Source organism: Homo sapiens, chromosome 19 (genome assembly GCF_000001405.40).
Source record: "Homo sapiens chromosome 19, GRCh38.p14 Primary Assembly".
Lineage (NCBI taxonomy): Eukaryota > Metazoa > Chordata > Mammalia > Primates > Hominidae > Homo > Homo sapiens.
Window position 1 is genome coordinate 28440745 of NC_000019.10, and position 15994 is coordinate 28456738.

The 15994-nt window shown below is 42.1% G+C and overlaps 1 long non-coding RNA gene and 1 pseudogene across 2 annotated transcripts in view, besides 1 other annotated feature; one reads left to right on the top strand and one right to left on the bottom strand.

The window, feature by feature from the left end:
• The window catches only part of LOC100420587 (SHC binding and spindle associated 1 pseudogene), a 292307-nt pseudogene that overhangs the window by 5357 nt on the left and 270956 nt on the right, over positions 1–15994 (bottom strand). The gene's annotated exons all lie outside the window — the stretch shown is intronic.
• LOC105372349 (uncharacterized) lies at positions 4540–9757 on the top strand. The gene is made up of 3 exons (XR_935886.3): positions 4540–4753; positions 4844–4944; positions 5038–9757. It is a non-coding gene; the product is annotated as an uncharacterized LOC105372349 (long non-coding RNA).
• Positions 5046–5753: an enhancer, noted in NCBI's record as "NANOG-H3K27ac hESC enhancer chr19:28936697-28937404 (GRCh37/hg19 assembly coordinates)". NCBI's record gives its function as "activates a minimal SCP1, AML or CMV promoter by ChIP-STARR-seq in naive H9 embryonic stem cells {active_cell/tissue: H9 hESC(naive)}" and the evidence as "EXISTENCE:reporter gene assay evidence [ECO:0000049][PMID:30033119]".

Genomic DNA, 15994 nt, shown 5'->3' on the forward strand with positions numbered 1-15994 from the left:
AAAAGTTGATTTCTTGCTAATGCATATTATGATCCTGGACAAACAATTCTGCAGGGCAGTCATCCTCCATGCAGTGCCTCAAGGACCCAGGCACCTCCACACTTGTGGTGCCACCATATCAAAAATTGGCTTCCAGGTCACCACAGCAAGAAAGCACAAAATTTGGGACTTGTGGATCACTTCCTAAATGCTTTGGCACTTCTGCTTATAGCCCATCGGTCATAACTAGTCATAGAGCCCCCCCAAGTGCAAGGAGGCTGAGAAATATATAGACGGCACATGGTAAATATCTCTATCATCATTTATTTGTGTTACACACTCTCCAATTATGCTCTTTTAGTTCTCTTACAATGTACAGTATTGTTGACTGTAGTCACCCCGTTAATCTCCCCCATATGTAGATGAGGAGCCTGGTGAGTGTGGCCTATTGCAAATATTTTTTCCCACCAACCCAAAACGTAGATTCAAAAACTAATGCTGATTTTTAGAGAATTTTAGGTGATACTTAATTTGGTAAAATTTATTGAAACTATACTTCTCCTAATCACATTATATCATTTTCTATAATCTTATAACTCTAACATCAAATTTAAGATAAGAAATATATTTATGCCCTATATCCATAAGCAACAAGATCATTAAATCTCTTTAGGCACTATTGTCTAGAAAAAAGAAGAAAAAACCTATCTAATTATTTTCAGCAGGAAAAAATTTACAGAGCTTACAGCCCAGCATTTTACCGCTTTTCTTTTTTTGCATTGGTGAATCATTTTGAGCTTATAATTTCAAAGTAAATATTTTTTAAAGCCTCAGGACATTCATTGTGTAATGATCATTTGAAAGATTTTTTGGTTATGGTGTTCTCAAATGAATAAAAAGGCTGTTCATAGCAACAGTTATTTCTATATTAAAAAGATGAAATTGTTCATTAAGTGGTACAAGTCAATTTCTTTCATCAGCCTAACTGCCCATTTTAGCAAAGATTCCATCTCTGAATTAAGCAAATAGCTACACATTTCAAAGTCAATAGCTATACTATGTTTCCTTTAACGTGAACATCTCAGACATATCAATGTTGTCAGCCTCTTTACTAAGCCTTTCTCTGAAAAGACTGAAGACCGTGTTTTGTTGTTATTGTTGTCATTGTGTGTTTTGTACTTTTGCTTTTTTTAAGGCAATATTTTTGTGTGTTAGCTACAGTCTGGCCGGTCATGACATGCACACTCAAAAGAGAGCCAGATATTTTTTAAAAAGTATGGTGAGGCTGAGTAGCCCATTTGACAATAAATGTAAAGTGCTCACATTTCCATTGGTCTGTTTGGAATTTCCCTAAGAAGAGTTATTTCTTTCTGTAATAAAACCAGAAGTCGAATGTAATAAACCATAGCTGGTCTGTGGGGGTTTGTGGCTAAAGTGAGTATGGAAAAGTCTGTGAACTTTCTGTTTATTTCCTTTTCCCAACCAAACCCTTGAAACTAGAGGCTGGAAGGAAGGGGTAGAGTTGAGGGCCATTGGACTAGGTGGAGGAAGTGACCTTGCAGATCCTTTCACATTCTGTAATGCATGCAAAAAATAATGAGAATGAGATAGCTGAAGTTTCAATTCTTTAGAGAGAGATTCAAATTCATTTGTCGGTTACAGGAAGCAAAAAAAATGCCATTATTAATTTAGGCAATTAGAGAACTTTGAAAGTAATATTTAGTACTTTTTTTAAAAAGCCTGTCCCAGGAGTTCAGCCCACAGCCTAGGAAAGCTTAATTTTTATAGTATTTCAAATGAAGAAAGGTCATTTCTTGGATGTGCTTGACAGAAGATTGTAATTATAAACTGGTAATTTTAATGAGAAGTGGGGTTTCCATAAAAACGGAATGAACTTTTGAGGAAGTAAAATTAGAGTGCATGTTCCATCCACTGTGGCATTTCCAAACAGGTCAGTGTTCCCAACATTGCCACCTGCTCTGCCATACTTTCCTGAAAAACGTTAATGCTTTGGTACCTACATCTGCTTCTCCTGCCTTCTCAATGCACCAAACAAGACATCAGACCTTTTTCTTGCATGGAGGCCTGCCTCCTGCGATGTCTGATCCACACACTTTTCTCTTCTCTGAATGCTAAACAGAGAGAACATTGCATTGTGATCTTCCCAGATTTAGGGCAGAGACAGGGCAGTCAGTCTGGGAAGGCACTTAGTGGAGTGAGCCCACAGTGTGGAGGGGTGAGTGCCTCCTGAGGAATCCTGCCCTCTCTACAGTCCACGTTTTCTGGCAGATCCAAGAGGTCACTTAAGGAGTTTTGAACAACCTGTACTGTAATGTCCTGAGGGTGCCTCAGCGTCATCTGTGCTCATCCCATTGTTATCTAACCAAATGGAGTCACTTTGCCTGTGTGCAATGGAAAGCCAAAAAATTGACACACTGGATTTTTGCAGAAAAACAAAAAAAAATTATTGCCGGTCAACTGGCAACGAGACAGGAGGAAACCCTCAAATCTGTCTCCCTGAGCTGGGGGCTGAGTGGGGTTTTATAAGCACAGGGTAATAAGGTGTGATCTGCTTGGATCTTGCAATGAGGTGATGCTGGGAGGCATAATCTCACTGATCCTGCCGCAGGACAATGCCAGGGTTTGATGTGCTTGAATCCTGGATCCTGCCATGTGGCATCCACTTTTAAATTTGGTCTCACTCCTCAGTTCGAGCACTTGGGGCTGCCCATCGTCGCGCACTTGGCTCATCTGGGCATGCTCCAGCAATGTGACCTTCGACCTGCAGGTCCATGGCAACTGAACAACAACTCACAACCTTGTTACGTGGAAGCTGAGCCAGACCGGTCTGGTGCAGTTACACATCCCTACAGGGTCTGATTTTACTGACTACGGGGGAGCTTGGGTATTGTTTTTTTTAAGCTCCTCAGATGATTCTAACACTCAGCAGGGGCTGAGAGCCACGGAGTTACTTTCTGAGAAGGAGTAAATATCAGCAAAGAAAGAGAGACAGGAAAGGCACTTGGCAGCAGCCTGGTGAGTAAGGGGTCAGGCAGCACCAAGCAAGGTTGGAGGATGAGCACAGTGAGGACCCACAGGGCCTATCAACTGTGTTAAGATAAACACCAAATCCTGCGGCTGGGCATGGTGGCTCACACCTGTAATCCCAGCACTTTGTGAGGCTGAGGCGGGAGGATCACCTGAGATCGGGAATTCGAGACCAGCCTGGCCAGCATGGAGAAACCCCGTCTCTACTAAAAATACAAAATTAGCTGGGCGTGGTGGCACACGCCTGTAATCTCAGCTACTTCGGAGGCTGAGGTAGAAGAATCGCTTGAACCAGGGAGGCGGAGGTTGCGGTGAGCTGAGATTGCGCCATTGCACTCCAGCCTGGGCAACAAGAGCGAAACTCCGTCTCAAAAAAAAAAAAAAAAAAACCCTAGAAAGCCCCAGGAAGTCAAAGAAGGGCGTCAGTGCAGAGCAATGCGCCAGCTCTTGGTTGCCGTATTCCTGGTGCTACAATAAAAGTTTGTTGACCATGTGCACTCAGGTGGGAATCAGAGGCTCAAGAGAAAAGCTAAAACCACCTGGAAGCTAAGCCTTGTCTAACCAAATCTATTGAGTCTCCCTCCAGCTAACTGAGGGGTCAGATGCCACTCATTTCTGTTTGGGAACAGTCATTTGCTTTAACTCTCAGCCTCTTGCTGCAGCCATGCTGCCTTCCCCTCAGTGTCCTCCTTCCTGCCACAGTAAGTCACTCTGGAGTGCCACGCTCCACTTAAAAATAAACACCTTCTGTCTCCATCCTGGCACAGTTTCAGCTTATTTAGCATTCTAACATATGTCGTCTGTTTTCCCAAACAATCTAACATGAGCATAGCACGATGGGGTTGATAATTTGGGCAAATGAGAAACAGCCTGCCATCAGCACAGACACAGTGACATTTGATTTGCTATCGGTAGATTCCATTGTGTTCTCTCTTCTCATCCTTGGATGATAAACACAGAAAAAGACTGCAAGATTTCCAGCCCTGGCTCTGTGGCAGAGAATAAGGTCTGGAGGCAGGGAACCTAAGGCTGCTTCAGGCTGACTTCTTAGAACTAAGTTGAAAGGAAAACCTTAACCTTCCATGCCTAAGTAACAAAAGGACCACAGGCTACTCCCTTTGACCTTTTCTCCAGGGCAAATGGGAAATTGGCTGTTCTGCAACAAATCAGACTGATTACCGGTCAAGTCTTCGTTTGCAACTTTGCAACTTCTCTCCAGCCTCTGAAAGGTTACTGTCCACAACCCATCAGACTGATTGCAGGCCGAGTCTTCATTTGCATAGAAGTATAACTTTGTAGCTTCATCCTAGCCTGTGACTGCTCCTTTAGGAACCAATCAGATGTTTGCACAGGAGGGTGACCTTTGTAACTTCTCTTCAGCCTCTGGTTGGCTGCTTTCTGCAACCAATCAGATTGATTGTGGGCTACCACTTCACTTACCTGAGATGAGCAAGAAGTGGCCAATGGGAAACTTCTAGGGGGTATCTAGACCCAAGAAGATTCTGTATCTGGGCTCTTGAGCCACTGCGGCTCAGTCCACTCCCACACTGTGGAGTGTACTTTCATTTTCAATAAATCCCTGCTTTCGTTCTTTTGTTGCTTCATTCTTTCTTTACTTTGCTGGGCATTTTGTCCAGTTCTTCGTTCAAAACACCAAGAACCTGGACAGCTTGCAGTTATGACCCTCTACCGGTGACGTATCTTGGCAAGCCAGCCAGGAGGAAAGGTAGGCCCAAAGTTTGGGATTTATTTTTCTCCTTTCCCCTTTTAAATCTTTCTCTCTTTTCCTTTTCAACTCGGGACCCTCTGTGGACAGTGCCTAAGCATGGAGACAACTGCAACTTTCTGGCCAGCGCCACTCTGGTGAAACTGAAAGGTTTCCACATGGAAGCGCCTTACTGCCGCCGCCCAGTTCGGGTGAGGGACCTGAGTCCTTTTCTTGTTTTCATTTTTCTGAGTCCTGTTCCTTTTTCCCTTTTTCTGAGTTATTTTCCTTTCCTCCTTTTTCAGTCTTTCAGCAGCTGTTTCCTAGTGGCTCCTTGGTAATTGAGAGGAACTGGCCAGGGCCGCTCTCCAGTGATCTCTGAAGTCCAGGGAGTGAACAGGGATGGCTGCCCTGCCTGGAAGGGGGAAAGACACTTTACTATCCTTTCCAGTTATCCTTTCACAACTGCATGTGACGCAGTTGGCAGCGGCAGCTCGTCCAGGGCAAATTCACACACGTTTCAGGTGACTTAAACTCCTTCTTTTCTTATGCTAAATTCTTCCCTAATCGTACTCAACTGGCTAAGGAACAAAACGGCCCACCCAGCATCCAGTTCTTATTACAGATCATGATTATTTTTTATAAAGCTCACAGTATGCTCTGGAGAGGAAAACCTGCATGTGGCGCCCCCTCCTAAGGCCAGAGACGTCTGGAACTCTTAAGATTGGACCCCGCAGGAGGACGTTCTTTGGGTTCTACGGACCTCAAACTCTCCAAAGGGGATGCCCTTGGCAGAGGTTCAGAGGTCTAGTATTAAGTCCTCCTTAGAATTTCCTCTCGGAGTTGAAATGCTGCTTGGACCGAAAAGTGTCTAGAATCTGAAGTTTACTGTCTAATGGAAAAGTGGGATGGTATTGCATAAATACAGGTCTTATAGGAGTTATTAAGAAGTTATTTTAGGCAGATAGAGAGGAAAAGGGGTCCTTGGGAAGTTTTTCTTTTAAAGCAGCTCCAGAAACCTTTCTTGTCTAGCAGGAAAGGCCCGGCTCTTAGATCCCGCCGACAAGCTTTGATATCCAAATCCCGGCCATTAGAAACTGGGTCCACCCAAACATGGTGATTCCCGCTGTCTTCTTGCCATTGCCCCGACTTGGGCCTGGAAACATGGCCACCCCCACATATCCACAGGTGTGTAGGACACCATGGCGCCCTGTATTCGCATATTAAAAGGTTAGGGTGGGAGGGCCAGGTTTTTGCGGGCCACGTGAGTGATATGCCTGGTCAAACCAATCCCCTGAGCCCTATGCAAATCAGGCACCACCTCCTCCAGCCTCCTCATATAAGCAGCCACTTTTCCCACCACACGGGTTTTCTCTTTGTTCGAATCCCCTCTCCCTCTGTCTCTGTACAGGGAGGCTGTTTTCTTCCTTCTTTCTTGCCTATTAAACACTCCACTCCTTAAAACCACTCCACGTGCGTCCATGTCGTTTTATCCAATTTGGTGCAAGATTAAGGACCCTGGTGTACCTCCATTCATTGGAGACTTATCACAGGCTTTTGTGCTGCCGTTCTAAGCAGGGGCCTGGTTAACGTGTGATGCCTTGCTTTGGTACTGTTTGGCCCCAGTGCTCCTTGGAGTCTGGGGAGGTTTAGCCTTTAAAATTCAAACTGCCAAGGAGACTGCTTTATCCAAAATTTTGGTTCACAGCCTTCCTTGGATTATCTATTGGGGCAAAGTAAAACCGGCAAGCTTGTACTGCTATCTCATGGCTAAGGTTCCGAGCTGTTGGATCTTTGTTTATGTGTGTGTATACATGTCTAGATGTGTTTATACAACAAATGTACACTTATTGTTGTATATTGTGTCTACAAAATTGGCTTATAAGTGAAAGAGCGCTCATGAAAACTGAGTAAGTCTAAGCAATTTTCAAGTTCATGTGACTTAAAGTATAACTTTACTAAACGAGCTAGCTTTAAAATTATTGGTGGAATAAAAATAGAAATGTTTTCAGAATTGTCAACATACATTTTGGCTGAATTTTATGTTTTTCTGTGCTAGATATTTTAAAATGTCAGTGTTAATTCAAGCTGGAAGCTGCTTAGGGCAAATCTGCCTCCCATTCTATTCAAAGTCTCACTGAGATAAATACATAACTAATTGCTTCCTTTGGAAAGGCTAATAAGAAACTCAAAAGAATGCAACCCTCTGTCTCCCACCTGTGATTGGAAAGCCCCCAGCCTCCTCGCCTCGAGTTGTCCCGCCTTCTGGGACCAAATCAATGTTTGTTTTACATATGTTATTTGATGTTACATGTCTCCTTTGTTAAAAGTCAAAATTAAGTACAGTGAGTGGGATAAATGTTTTAGGTAAACTTTTTGTGTAAATTAAAATCTTAGAGCTATTTTTAACACCCATTTGATATCTGGGCCATTTCCAATTGAGAAAGTGTTGTAATATGAGGAAATATGTTTCAAAAATTATGGAATTCATAATTCCATCTATTTTTCTTATCTGAAAATGCCCATATCTGATAGTTCTTATCTATAAATGCCCATATCTGATGGTTCAGGATTTCTTGCTTTTTGGAGTTTCACTAAAGTTTTAGGTTACTAAGGATAAAATTCTAGTTAACATGTAATTCTGTACACAAAATGTGCCGGAAAGGGTTATTTTATTAGAAAAAAAAGAATAATAATTTTGTCTAATCCAGAAGTTATCTAAAAGTTAGTTCAAATTACAGATTTGAAAAAGTTATTTATGAAACAATGTAGTAAGGACTCATTAAGTAGGGGAGAAAAGTGTGGAAAAAGTTAAATAATAAAATGTTCTTTCAAACCTGGAAACCTTGGAGACATTTGGCTAATTAACACTTTCATAGTTAAAGCCCTTAGTATTAATTAAAGTAAAATAAGAAGTATTGTAAAAATGCATTGGCAGTTTGATAATTCTTTTTTATAATATAGTTAAGCATGAAACTAAATTTAGTGTGGAGCCAAATTTCACATACATGTTTGCGTTGTTTCACACTGTTTACTGTTTTGCATGGATAGTGCTAGAGTACTTATTGGTCATGTGCCTTAAGTGGATTTCTTGATTGCACAGAATGTGATATTGGTAAACTTAAGGATATTGAATTGTGTATGGGGAATAAAATATTCATTATGTGGGTTTTTTAGGGCCCGGGATAACACTGCAGCCTCCAGGGTAAACTGAGTATAAAAATTTACACCTGGTTTCCTGCTTATTTGTTTTGGCTTCTAGTTTTCATTTCTTTGCTGTTTATTCTCCTGTGGCTTTGCTTGTATCCATATATATAAATAAATGATGTTTTCCAGTTCCTAGTGGAAGGTTTTATTTAGTTTTGTGATCCTATGCACTTCTTGCAAGTCCTCATTCATTTCATTTATCTGGAATTCCTAAGCTACCTTTGTTGGGCCTGCAGAAATTAACGGAGCACACCAGCTTTTTTTTTTTGTTTTTTTTTTTGAGATGGAGTCTCGCTCTGTCACCAGGCTGGAGTAGTGCAGTGGTGCAATCTCGGCTCACTGCAACCTTCACTTGCCAGGTTCAAGCGATTCTCCCACCTCAGCCTCCTGAGTAGCTGGGATTACAGGCGTGCGCCACCATGCCCAGCTAATTTTTGTATTTTTAGTAGAGACAGGGTTTCACCATGTTGGCCAGGGTGGTCTCGATCTCTTGACCTCGTGATCTGCCCGCCTCAGCTTCCCAAAGTGCTGGGATTACAGGCGTGAGCCACCGCGCCCGGCCCATGCCAGCTTTTTATCCTTTAACTAACTTTTTGAATTTTAGGGTTCCTGATAGTTTAAGTGTGTTGAGTATACTCTCACAAATAGAATTTGAGTCATATTTCTCTCTCTCTAATTTCTCCAAAATCTGTAAAGTATATGTAAACAGTCTAATTCATTGCAATGTATTCATTTGCATACAGTCAAGCAGGGTTGCCAGGGTTGCTCAGGGAGAGAGAACCCAGAAACCTGGCACGCCGGCAAAAGGGTAAGAATTTCTTACCAGTCAGTCTCTGGCCTCTTTCTTTCTGTGCAAACTGGTTAAATATAAAGTAGAAGTCACTATATATCTCCTGTGTAAAGTTCTAAATTAATTGGTTTAATAATAATAAAAGCTTAAATCAAACATTTTGTCAGAAAAGTGAAAATATAATGCGAACTTTCTTAGTTCATTTGACTTGAGTATTCTTTGGGAAATAAAGACAGTTTTAAAAATTATTGGTGAAATACAATTGTCTTCAAAATGTAAACGTGGTCTAAATTACGTTTGAATACTAGGTTTGCTAAACGCTTTAAGGTCATAAACTGCTTCTTTGGCTTTTGAAAATTATTTAACTTGCCTGCTTTCCAGCTAGTTAAGGCCTGGGGACATGTGGAGTTGGCCACACCCTAGCTATGCTGGAAACAGTCAAAGGTTATCAGAACATAACTTAAGAGGTTTTACATTAAAGTTAAAATTGCTTAAAGTCACCACTGTAACATGCGGTTAAGACTACTAGAAATAGTTTTACATGCAAGGTGTGTAAAAACAGTAGAAAGTGTTTTTTCAGTTTTTTTTTGTTTTTTGTTTTGTAAAAGGTTACAAAAGATTTTTACTTCTTTAAAATTTCTCAGTCATCATTTTGGCAAAATAAATAATTTATGGTAATCTGGAATTCCAAAAGCAAACTTTAGTTTTAAAATTGTCTTTCCTAATGCCCGGCTTTTTGGATGAATCAGAGGGCCCCTGAAAACATCCAGAAAGAAGGTATACAGGATTATTTGACTTGTTTACGCACATGGGATTGCCAAAATGATGTTCAATCTTCTTTAGGTTGTATTTTTGTGAATAATACTAATGTATGTTCCAAAAAAATATATGGGATTTCTAAAATTCTAATGTCTAAGTATATGCTATCAATGATAATTATGGTTATTATGTTAAGTTATTATAAATCATAGAAATAACTTGTCAGTGCTACGTACCTAATTTGGAAAATAAACTGGTATCAAAGAGGATATAAGTCTAATGTTAATTAAACATGGACTCATGAAAACCAGGATGTCCACCTTGTCCTTCGTGAATCCTTAAAGCTTTTGTTTCTAAAAGTTATGCATTCCATGACTCATCACGGAAAAGATAAAATAATCCAAATTAAATACATTGGTGCAATGACTTACAAATTGTTTAAAATAATTTATAACCAGTGCTTAATCCCATATTACTGGGAAAACAATTAAAGCTTCAGGTACATTTGGTCACCTGATGGGCCATTTAGACATTTTATAAAGGGGTTTCATTCAATTGTTATTTTCAGTGCATGTTTTCTAGTTGTATAAAAGCTTTCCCATGCAAGAGGGGTGATGTTGTAACAGTAGATTATTATGCTACAGTGTATTTTTACCGGGTAAAAAAGCTTTTTATGGCTTACATCTTCTAGAAACAGCAAAGAAGGACTGTTCTTGCCATCCACACTACAACAAAACTTCAGGACCTTGGACTTTGAGTTCATAGTCTCACAATTGAGAAGGGTCCCTCCACACTTTTGGAGCTGTGCACCCATTGGAACCCTAGAGGTAAACCTAACCAGGGAAATTTCTCCCAAGAAGAAGATGGCATCTTTGATGTGAACAGCTTTTTCAAATTCACAGATTAAGACTTCTACTATCATGAAATTCTTATCTTTGAATTTTTTTTTCTTATGGGGTGTACTTTTATTTGTGAAGGATTTTGCAGCCAGCCTTATACATGGGTAACCTTGTACTTTAATAGATAAAATATGAAGGCCCAATGTAGGTAAGAAACTTTAATCATACATGCACTGCCTCATAATCAGTCAAAAACAAAACATTGGTTTACTCCTCTTAACCCACATCATGGGTTAAAGAGAACATTGCCAGAAGGCCTTCACTTTTCTAAAAGGGCATCCTTTGTTAGGTCTTTTTTCCATGGTTTAAAGTAAAGAAGCAAAGATAAGAAATGTAACCCTCATGATAGGTTCTATAGCAAATTCTACTGTAAAGGCTACAGTTACACAACAGACTTTAAATTCTCTTGTGAACGTTATGCTAAATAATATAATTGGCTAAACAAAAAGTACCTATGCAGCTGCTGGCACTTATGGCCTATGGAGAAATACATCAAATGAAGATTATAGAAATTCAGTGGTAGAGAATTAATGAAGAGATCACTTAGTTAGGTAAGTAAATTCTTTATCCAGCTCATTCTTTGATCTATTTGATGTTAGGAGGTTTGGTTTATGGGAACCTTGGGTAAGGAGCATACTCCAAACTCTTGGTACTATCCTCCCAATAGTCATAATAATAGTCTCCCTGGTGCATTGTATTCTCTCAAAGGTTTTTAATGCTTGCATTTGGCCATCTCCAGAATGTCATACAGTCTCTCTTCAACTGGAATAACAGGAACTGAAAGAAATGTGCAACCATGAGGACACCATAACCTATAAATGATGTGCTGAGATTGGAAACTCAAAATCATGGTAACTGAGAGTGATGCTAAGGCCCTAAATTTTGGTCATGCTCTCACCTAAGTGAAAAATGGGGAAATTTTTAAACAAAATTCTGGGAGGCCATTGTTTTGGACTAAGCTCATGCACTAGGCCACAACAAACCAAACTGAACAAAAATGGAGTCACTCATGCTGACTTTAAGGAAACACATAGATTCTAAAACAGACCAGGTTTTGTTTTTTCTCCTGCAAATCTCTATGACAAACATTTCTGACAAAATAGGTATCAACCTCCTGAAGTTCCCATTAAATCTTTTTTTTTTTTTTTTGAGATGGAGTCTCACTCTGTTGCCCAGGCTGGAGTGCAATGGTGCAATCTCCACCTCCTGGGTTCAAGTGATTCTCCTGCCTCAGCCTCCTGAGTAGCTGGAATTATAGGTGCCCACCACCATGCCCAGCTAATTTTTGTAATTTTAGTAGAGATAGGGTTTCACCATGTTAGTCAGGCTGGTCTCAAACTCCTGACCTCAAGTGATCCACTTGCCTCAGCCTCCCAAAGTGCTGGGATTACAGGCATGAGCCACTGCGCCCGGCTGCCCATTAAATCTTTTAACCGAATCCATTTCCTCTAGCATAGAGACCATTGAGCTTCAGATGACTGTGCAACAAGGTTTCAGCCAGTTCCAGGTGAAGGCACCACCCCTGGCCATCAGGAAGCCACCCTGCCTCCACTAGACAGAGTAAGGTGAGAGTTCCATGATCTCCAACAGGTAGGGACTATGCCCCAAGTCAGCATGAAGCAGTTAGAGAAGAAAGACCTTCAGTGCCTCTGCCTCCCATGAAGACCTATGGGGATCATTTCTCTCAGCGGGGAGATGAGGCAGGAGAATAGGGTCTGGAGGCAGGGAACCTAAGGTTGTTTCACACCTGACTTCCTAGAACTAATTTGAAAGGAAAACCCTAACTTTCCATGCCTAAGTAACAAAAGTACCAGAGGCTACTCCCTTTGACGTTTTCTGCAGGACAGATGGGAAACTGGCTGTTCTAACAACAAATCAGACTGATTGCGGGTTAAATATTCATTTGCAACTTTGTAACTTCACTCCACAACCAATCAGACTGACTGCAGGCCGAGTCTTCGTTTGCATGGAAGTAGAACTTTGTAATTTCATCCTAGCCTCTGATTGGTTGCTTTGTGCAACCAATCAGATGTTTGCACAGGAGTGTGACCTTTGTAACTTCACTTCAGCCTGTGGTTCATGCTGTCCGCATCCAATCTGAGACATGAGGTGAACATAAAGTGGCCAATAGGAAACTTCTAGGGGGTATTTGGACCCAAGAAGATTCTGTATCCGAGCCCTTGAGCCCCTGCTTGGGTCTGCTCCCACACAGCGGAGTGTACTTTTGTTTTCAATAAATCCCTGCTTTTGTCCTTTTGTTGCTTCATTCTTTCTTTGCTTTGCTGGGCGTTTTAATTCTTTGTTCAAAACACCAAGGACCTAGACAACTTGCAGTCACCACCCTCTCCTGGTGACAGCTCTTCCAGTCAAAATGATTGAAACATCATTTGCCTTTAAATATCCTATTCATTTGGCAAGCATAGAGTGGACGCCAACCATGTAAGAGACACGTTGGCTCTGGCGTGAAAATGTAGAAACGGTCTCTGCTAGCAAGGGGCAGATAGGTTCATGAGCGAGACCGGATTACAGAGCATAGCGAGTCAGATCACAGCTGGCAGGAGGAACAAGAAGGAAACTCACAAGACAATGCATGGCCAATCCTACACTCAAAGATGAGGCAAAGCTTCACTGGTATCTCAGTCCGTGCGTGCTGCTATAAAGGAATACCTGAGACTGGGTAATTTATAAAGAAAAGAGGTTGATTTAGCTCACAGTTTTGCAGGCTGTACAGAAAGCATGGCGCCAGGATCTGCTTCTGGGGAGGACTCAGGCTGCATCCACTCACAGCCTGAGGGGAAGAGGAGCTGGTGTACGCAGAAATCACATGGTGAGAAAGGAAGCAAGAGAGAAGAGGGAGGCATCAGGCTTTTTTTTTTAATCCTCTACATTTATTAATTAAAAATAATTTCAACTTTTATTTTAGACTTAGGGGGTACAAGTGTATGTTTTTTAATATGGATATTTGCATGATGCTGAGGTTTGGGGTATGGATGACAGATCACTGAAGCAGACTTTTTAACAACAGTTCTAGGGGGAGCTAATACTGTGAGAAGTCACTCATTATTGCAGGACATCACCAAACCACTCATGAGGTATCCACCCCATGACTCAAACACCTTCCATTAGGTCCCACCTCTAACACTGAGGATCGAATTTCAACATGAGGTTTGCAGGGTCAAATATTCAAACTCCAGCAACCAGAACGAACTGGAAGAAGTTACCGCTGCTCTCAGTCAAGCCCAGAATTCCTGTCCCATGCAGACTAAGCATTTTCACACAGATCTTTCTAAGTCCTTAGGTCATTAGAGGAGTAACATTCCCTCTGGCTGAAAGGGAGACATCACCAGGAGGTCCCTCAGCCTTTTGCACAACTGATTGTCCAGGAGCTCTGTCCTGTTCTGATAGGGGCTGAGCTGAACCCTAAGGCTCAGGATTCCGGGGAATAGCACCACCCAGCCGGACCTCCCCAGGGACCCCAGAATCTACAGTGACTCAGACCCCTGTACAACCTGGAGCTTGCACATCTATTTTTTTCCTCTCACTTATCTGTTCACTGGGTCAATCAGTCCTTCAACAAACATTTACTCAGCCATCACTGCTCACCAGGCACAGAATAAAAGCAACACACAGGACCAGAGTATGGGCCTTAGAGACCTGCCCGTCTACAGTGCAAGTTTCTACCAGGGACATGGGAACCCAGGTATTGAAAAGGGCCTTGTGGATGCTTTATAGAGATGAGAGATGGAACAACTTTGCATTTCCAGAGGGCCCTGGGCTGAGGCCACATCTGCAGACCTTCCTTGAAGTGAGCAAGCAAAGTTGCTTGCCTTGGCTTCATGCCTGACGATGGCCCCTCTGTGGAAGGCTGCATGCTTGGACTCAACCCTGAGTCTTGGGAACCACTAGAGGAAGAGTAACAGGAGGTGGAACCCAGGGATGGCCACATGCAACCTGTTTGTCCCACCTCATGCCTCTTCCCAGCTATGGGTCCATTCAGTCATTCACTTATTCCCATAAAACCATACACTACATTTCTTCAAATTTCTTATGGGCCTGAAGCCCCCTTAATGCTCACCAAACATTTAATGATTTTTTTTTACTCTCTCAGAAATTAAATATGAACATAACGATCGTCACTGTTAACTATTGTCCTCAAGAAAGTTCCACATTTCTCAGATAGATAAATTTTACATTATTACCACAAATGGGCCATACAATGCTTGCAAAGTGCCAAGAGAAGTCTCTGGTCTACAATGGTGCCAGCTCTCTCTGCATGTTGGCACTGAGGAATGAAGAAGGAGCTGGAAAATATGCAGGAGCAGACCCAGACAGAAGTCAACAGGCCAGGCTGATTGGAGGGGAATGTTGGCGGTCTGAAAAAAACCAATTCTTCACCCCCTACTTTTCTTCTTCCTTTCTCAATATTTAGTCTCCTTAAGGAGCAGTAGGAGGCCTAGGTGAATAAAACCAGACATAGTGAATGCAGTAGAAGGAGACAGTCTTTAGTCCCAAACTAGAAAGAGCTGATAGACAAGGTAGCGATCTCCCTTTCCCTGGAGGAAAGCAAGCAGATAACAGACAATAAACAGTTGATAAAGCTATAGAACAAATTTAAGCAAGAGAAGGACTTTAAGGGAGAGAAAAAAAAATAACATTGCCAAGGCATCAACTATCAGGAACTCAGCTTGGCCTTTGTATATTACCTTATTTAATACCCACAACAATGCTAAGGAATGTATTACCATCTGCATTCGCCTAAGAAGGAGATATAGCTCAGAATAAGTAACATATTCCAAAGTCACAAACTGGATGTGGTTCTGACTCCAAAGCCCATTCTCTTTTCATTATGGTCACTGGCTCCCTGGAGGGGCAGGAACAGTGCACAGGAGTCATTTGTGCATTCAGCAGATGTTTGCTGAGAGTGAAGCTACTATGCTGGTGTGAAGATACAAAAATGATTAAACCCCTGGATTATCACATGGAATTCCAAAATTTTGGAAGGCAGCCTTGATGCCTAGGGAACTAATTGCATAGATTGGAATCCATAGGCCGGCACCCCTCCTTCTGTTCCTGCCCATCTGCCCCAAGCCTGGGTGGCCTACATCAGTACAGGGGCGTCCAAAGAGCAGGTGCTGGCTCTCCTGTGCAATTCACCTCTCCCAGAAGCAGTATTTCCCAAAGTGCATTTCTCAGAAGAGTGGGGCTGTGTGTTTTAGACTAAGAGCGTTCTCTGGCCCCAGGTGTTTGGGAGGCCTGCAGGATGCACTCATTATTAGAGGATCACAGTGCGTGCTAAAGCAGGAGAGGGTCTGCCCCCACCCACGCTGGAGCTGGCTCACTCATTCACGTCTCAGAGGGCTCTGCTGCTCTCTACAGAACAAAGGCTTTCAGCCCAGCAGGTGGCTCATGCCTGTGATCCTAGCACTTTGGGAGGCCCAGGTGGGAGGATTGCTTGAGGCCAGGAGTTTAAGACCAGCCTGAGTAACATAGTAAGACCCCATCTCTACAAAAATTTTTTGTTAAAATTAGCAAGGCATGGTTGCACACGCCTTTAGTCCCAGCTACCCATGAGGGCTGAGGTGGGGGGATCACTTGAGCCCAGAAGGT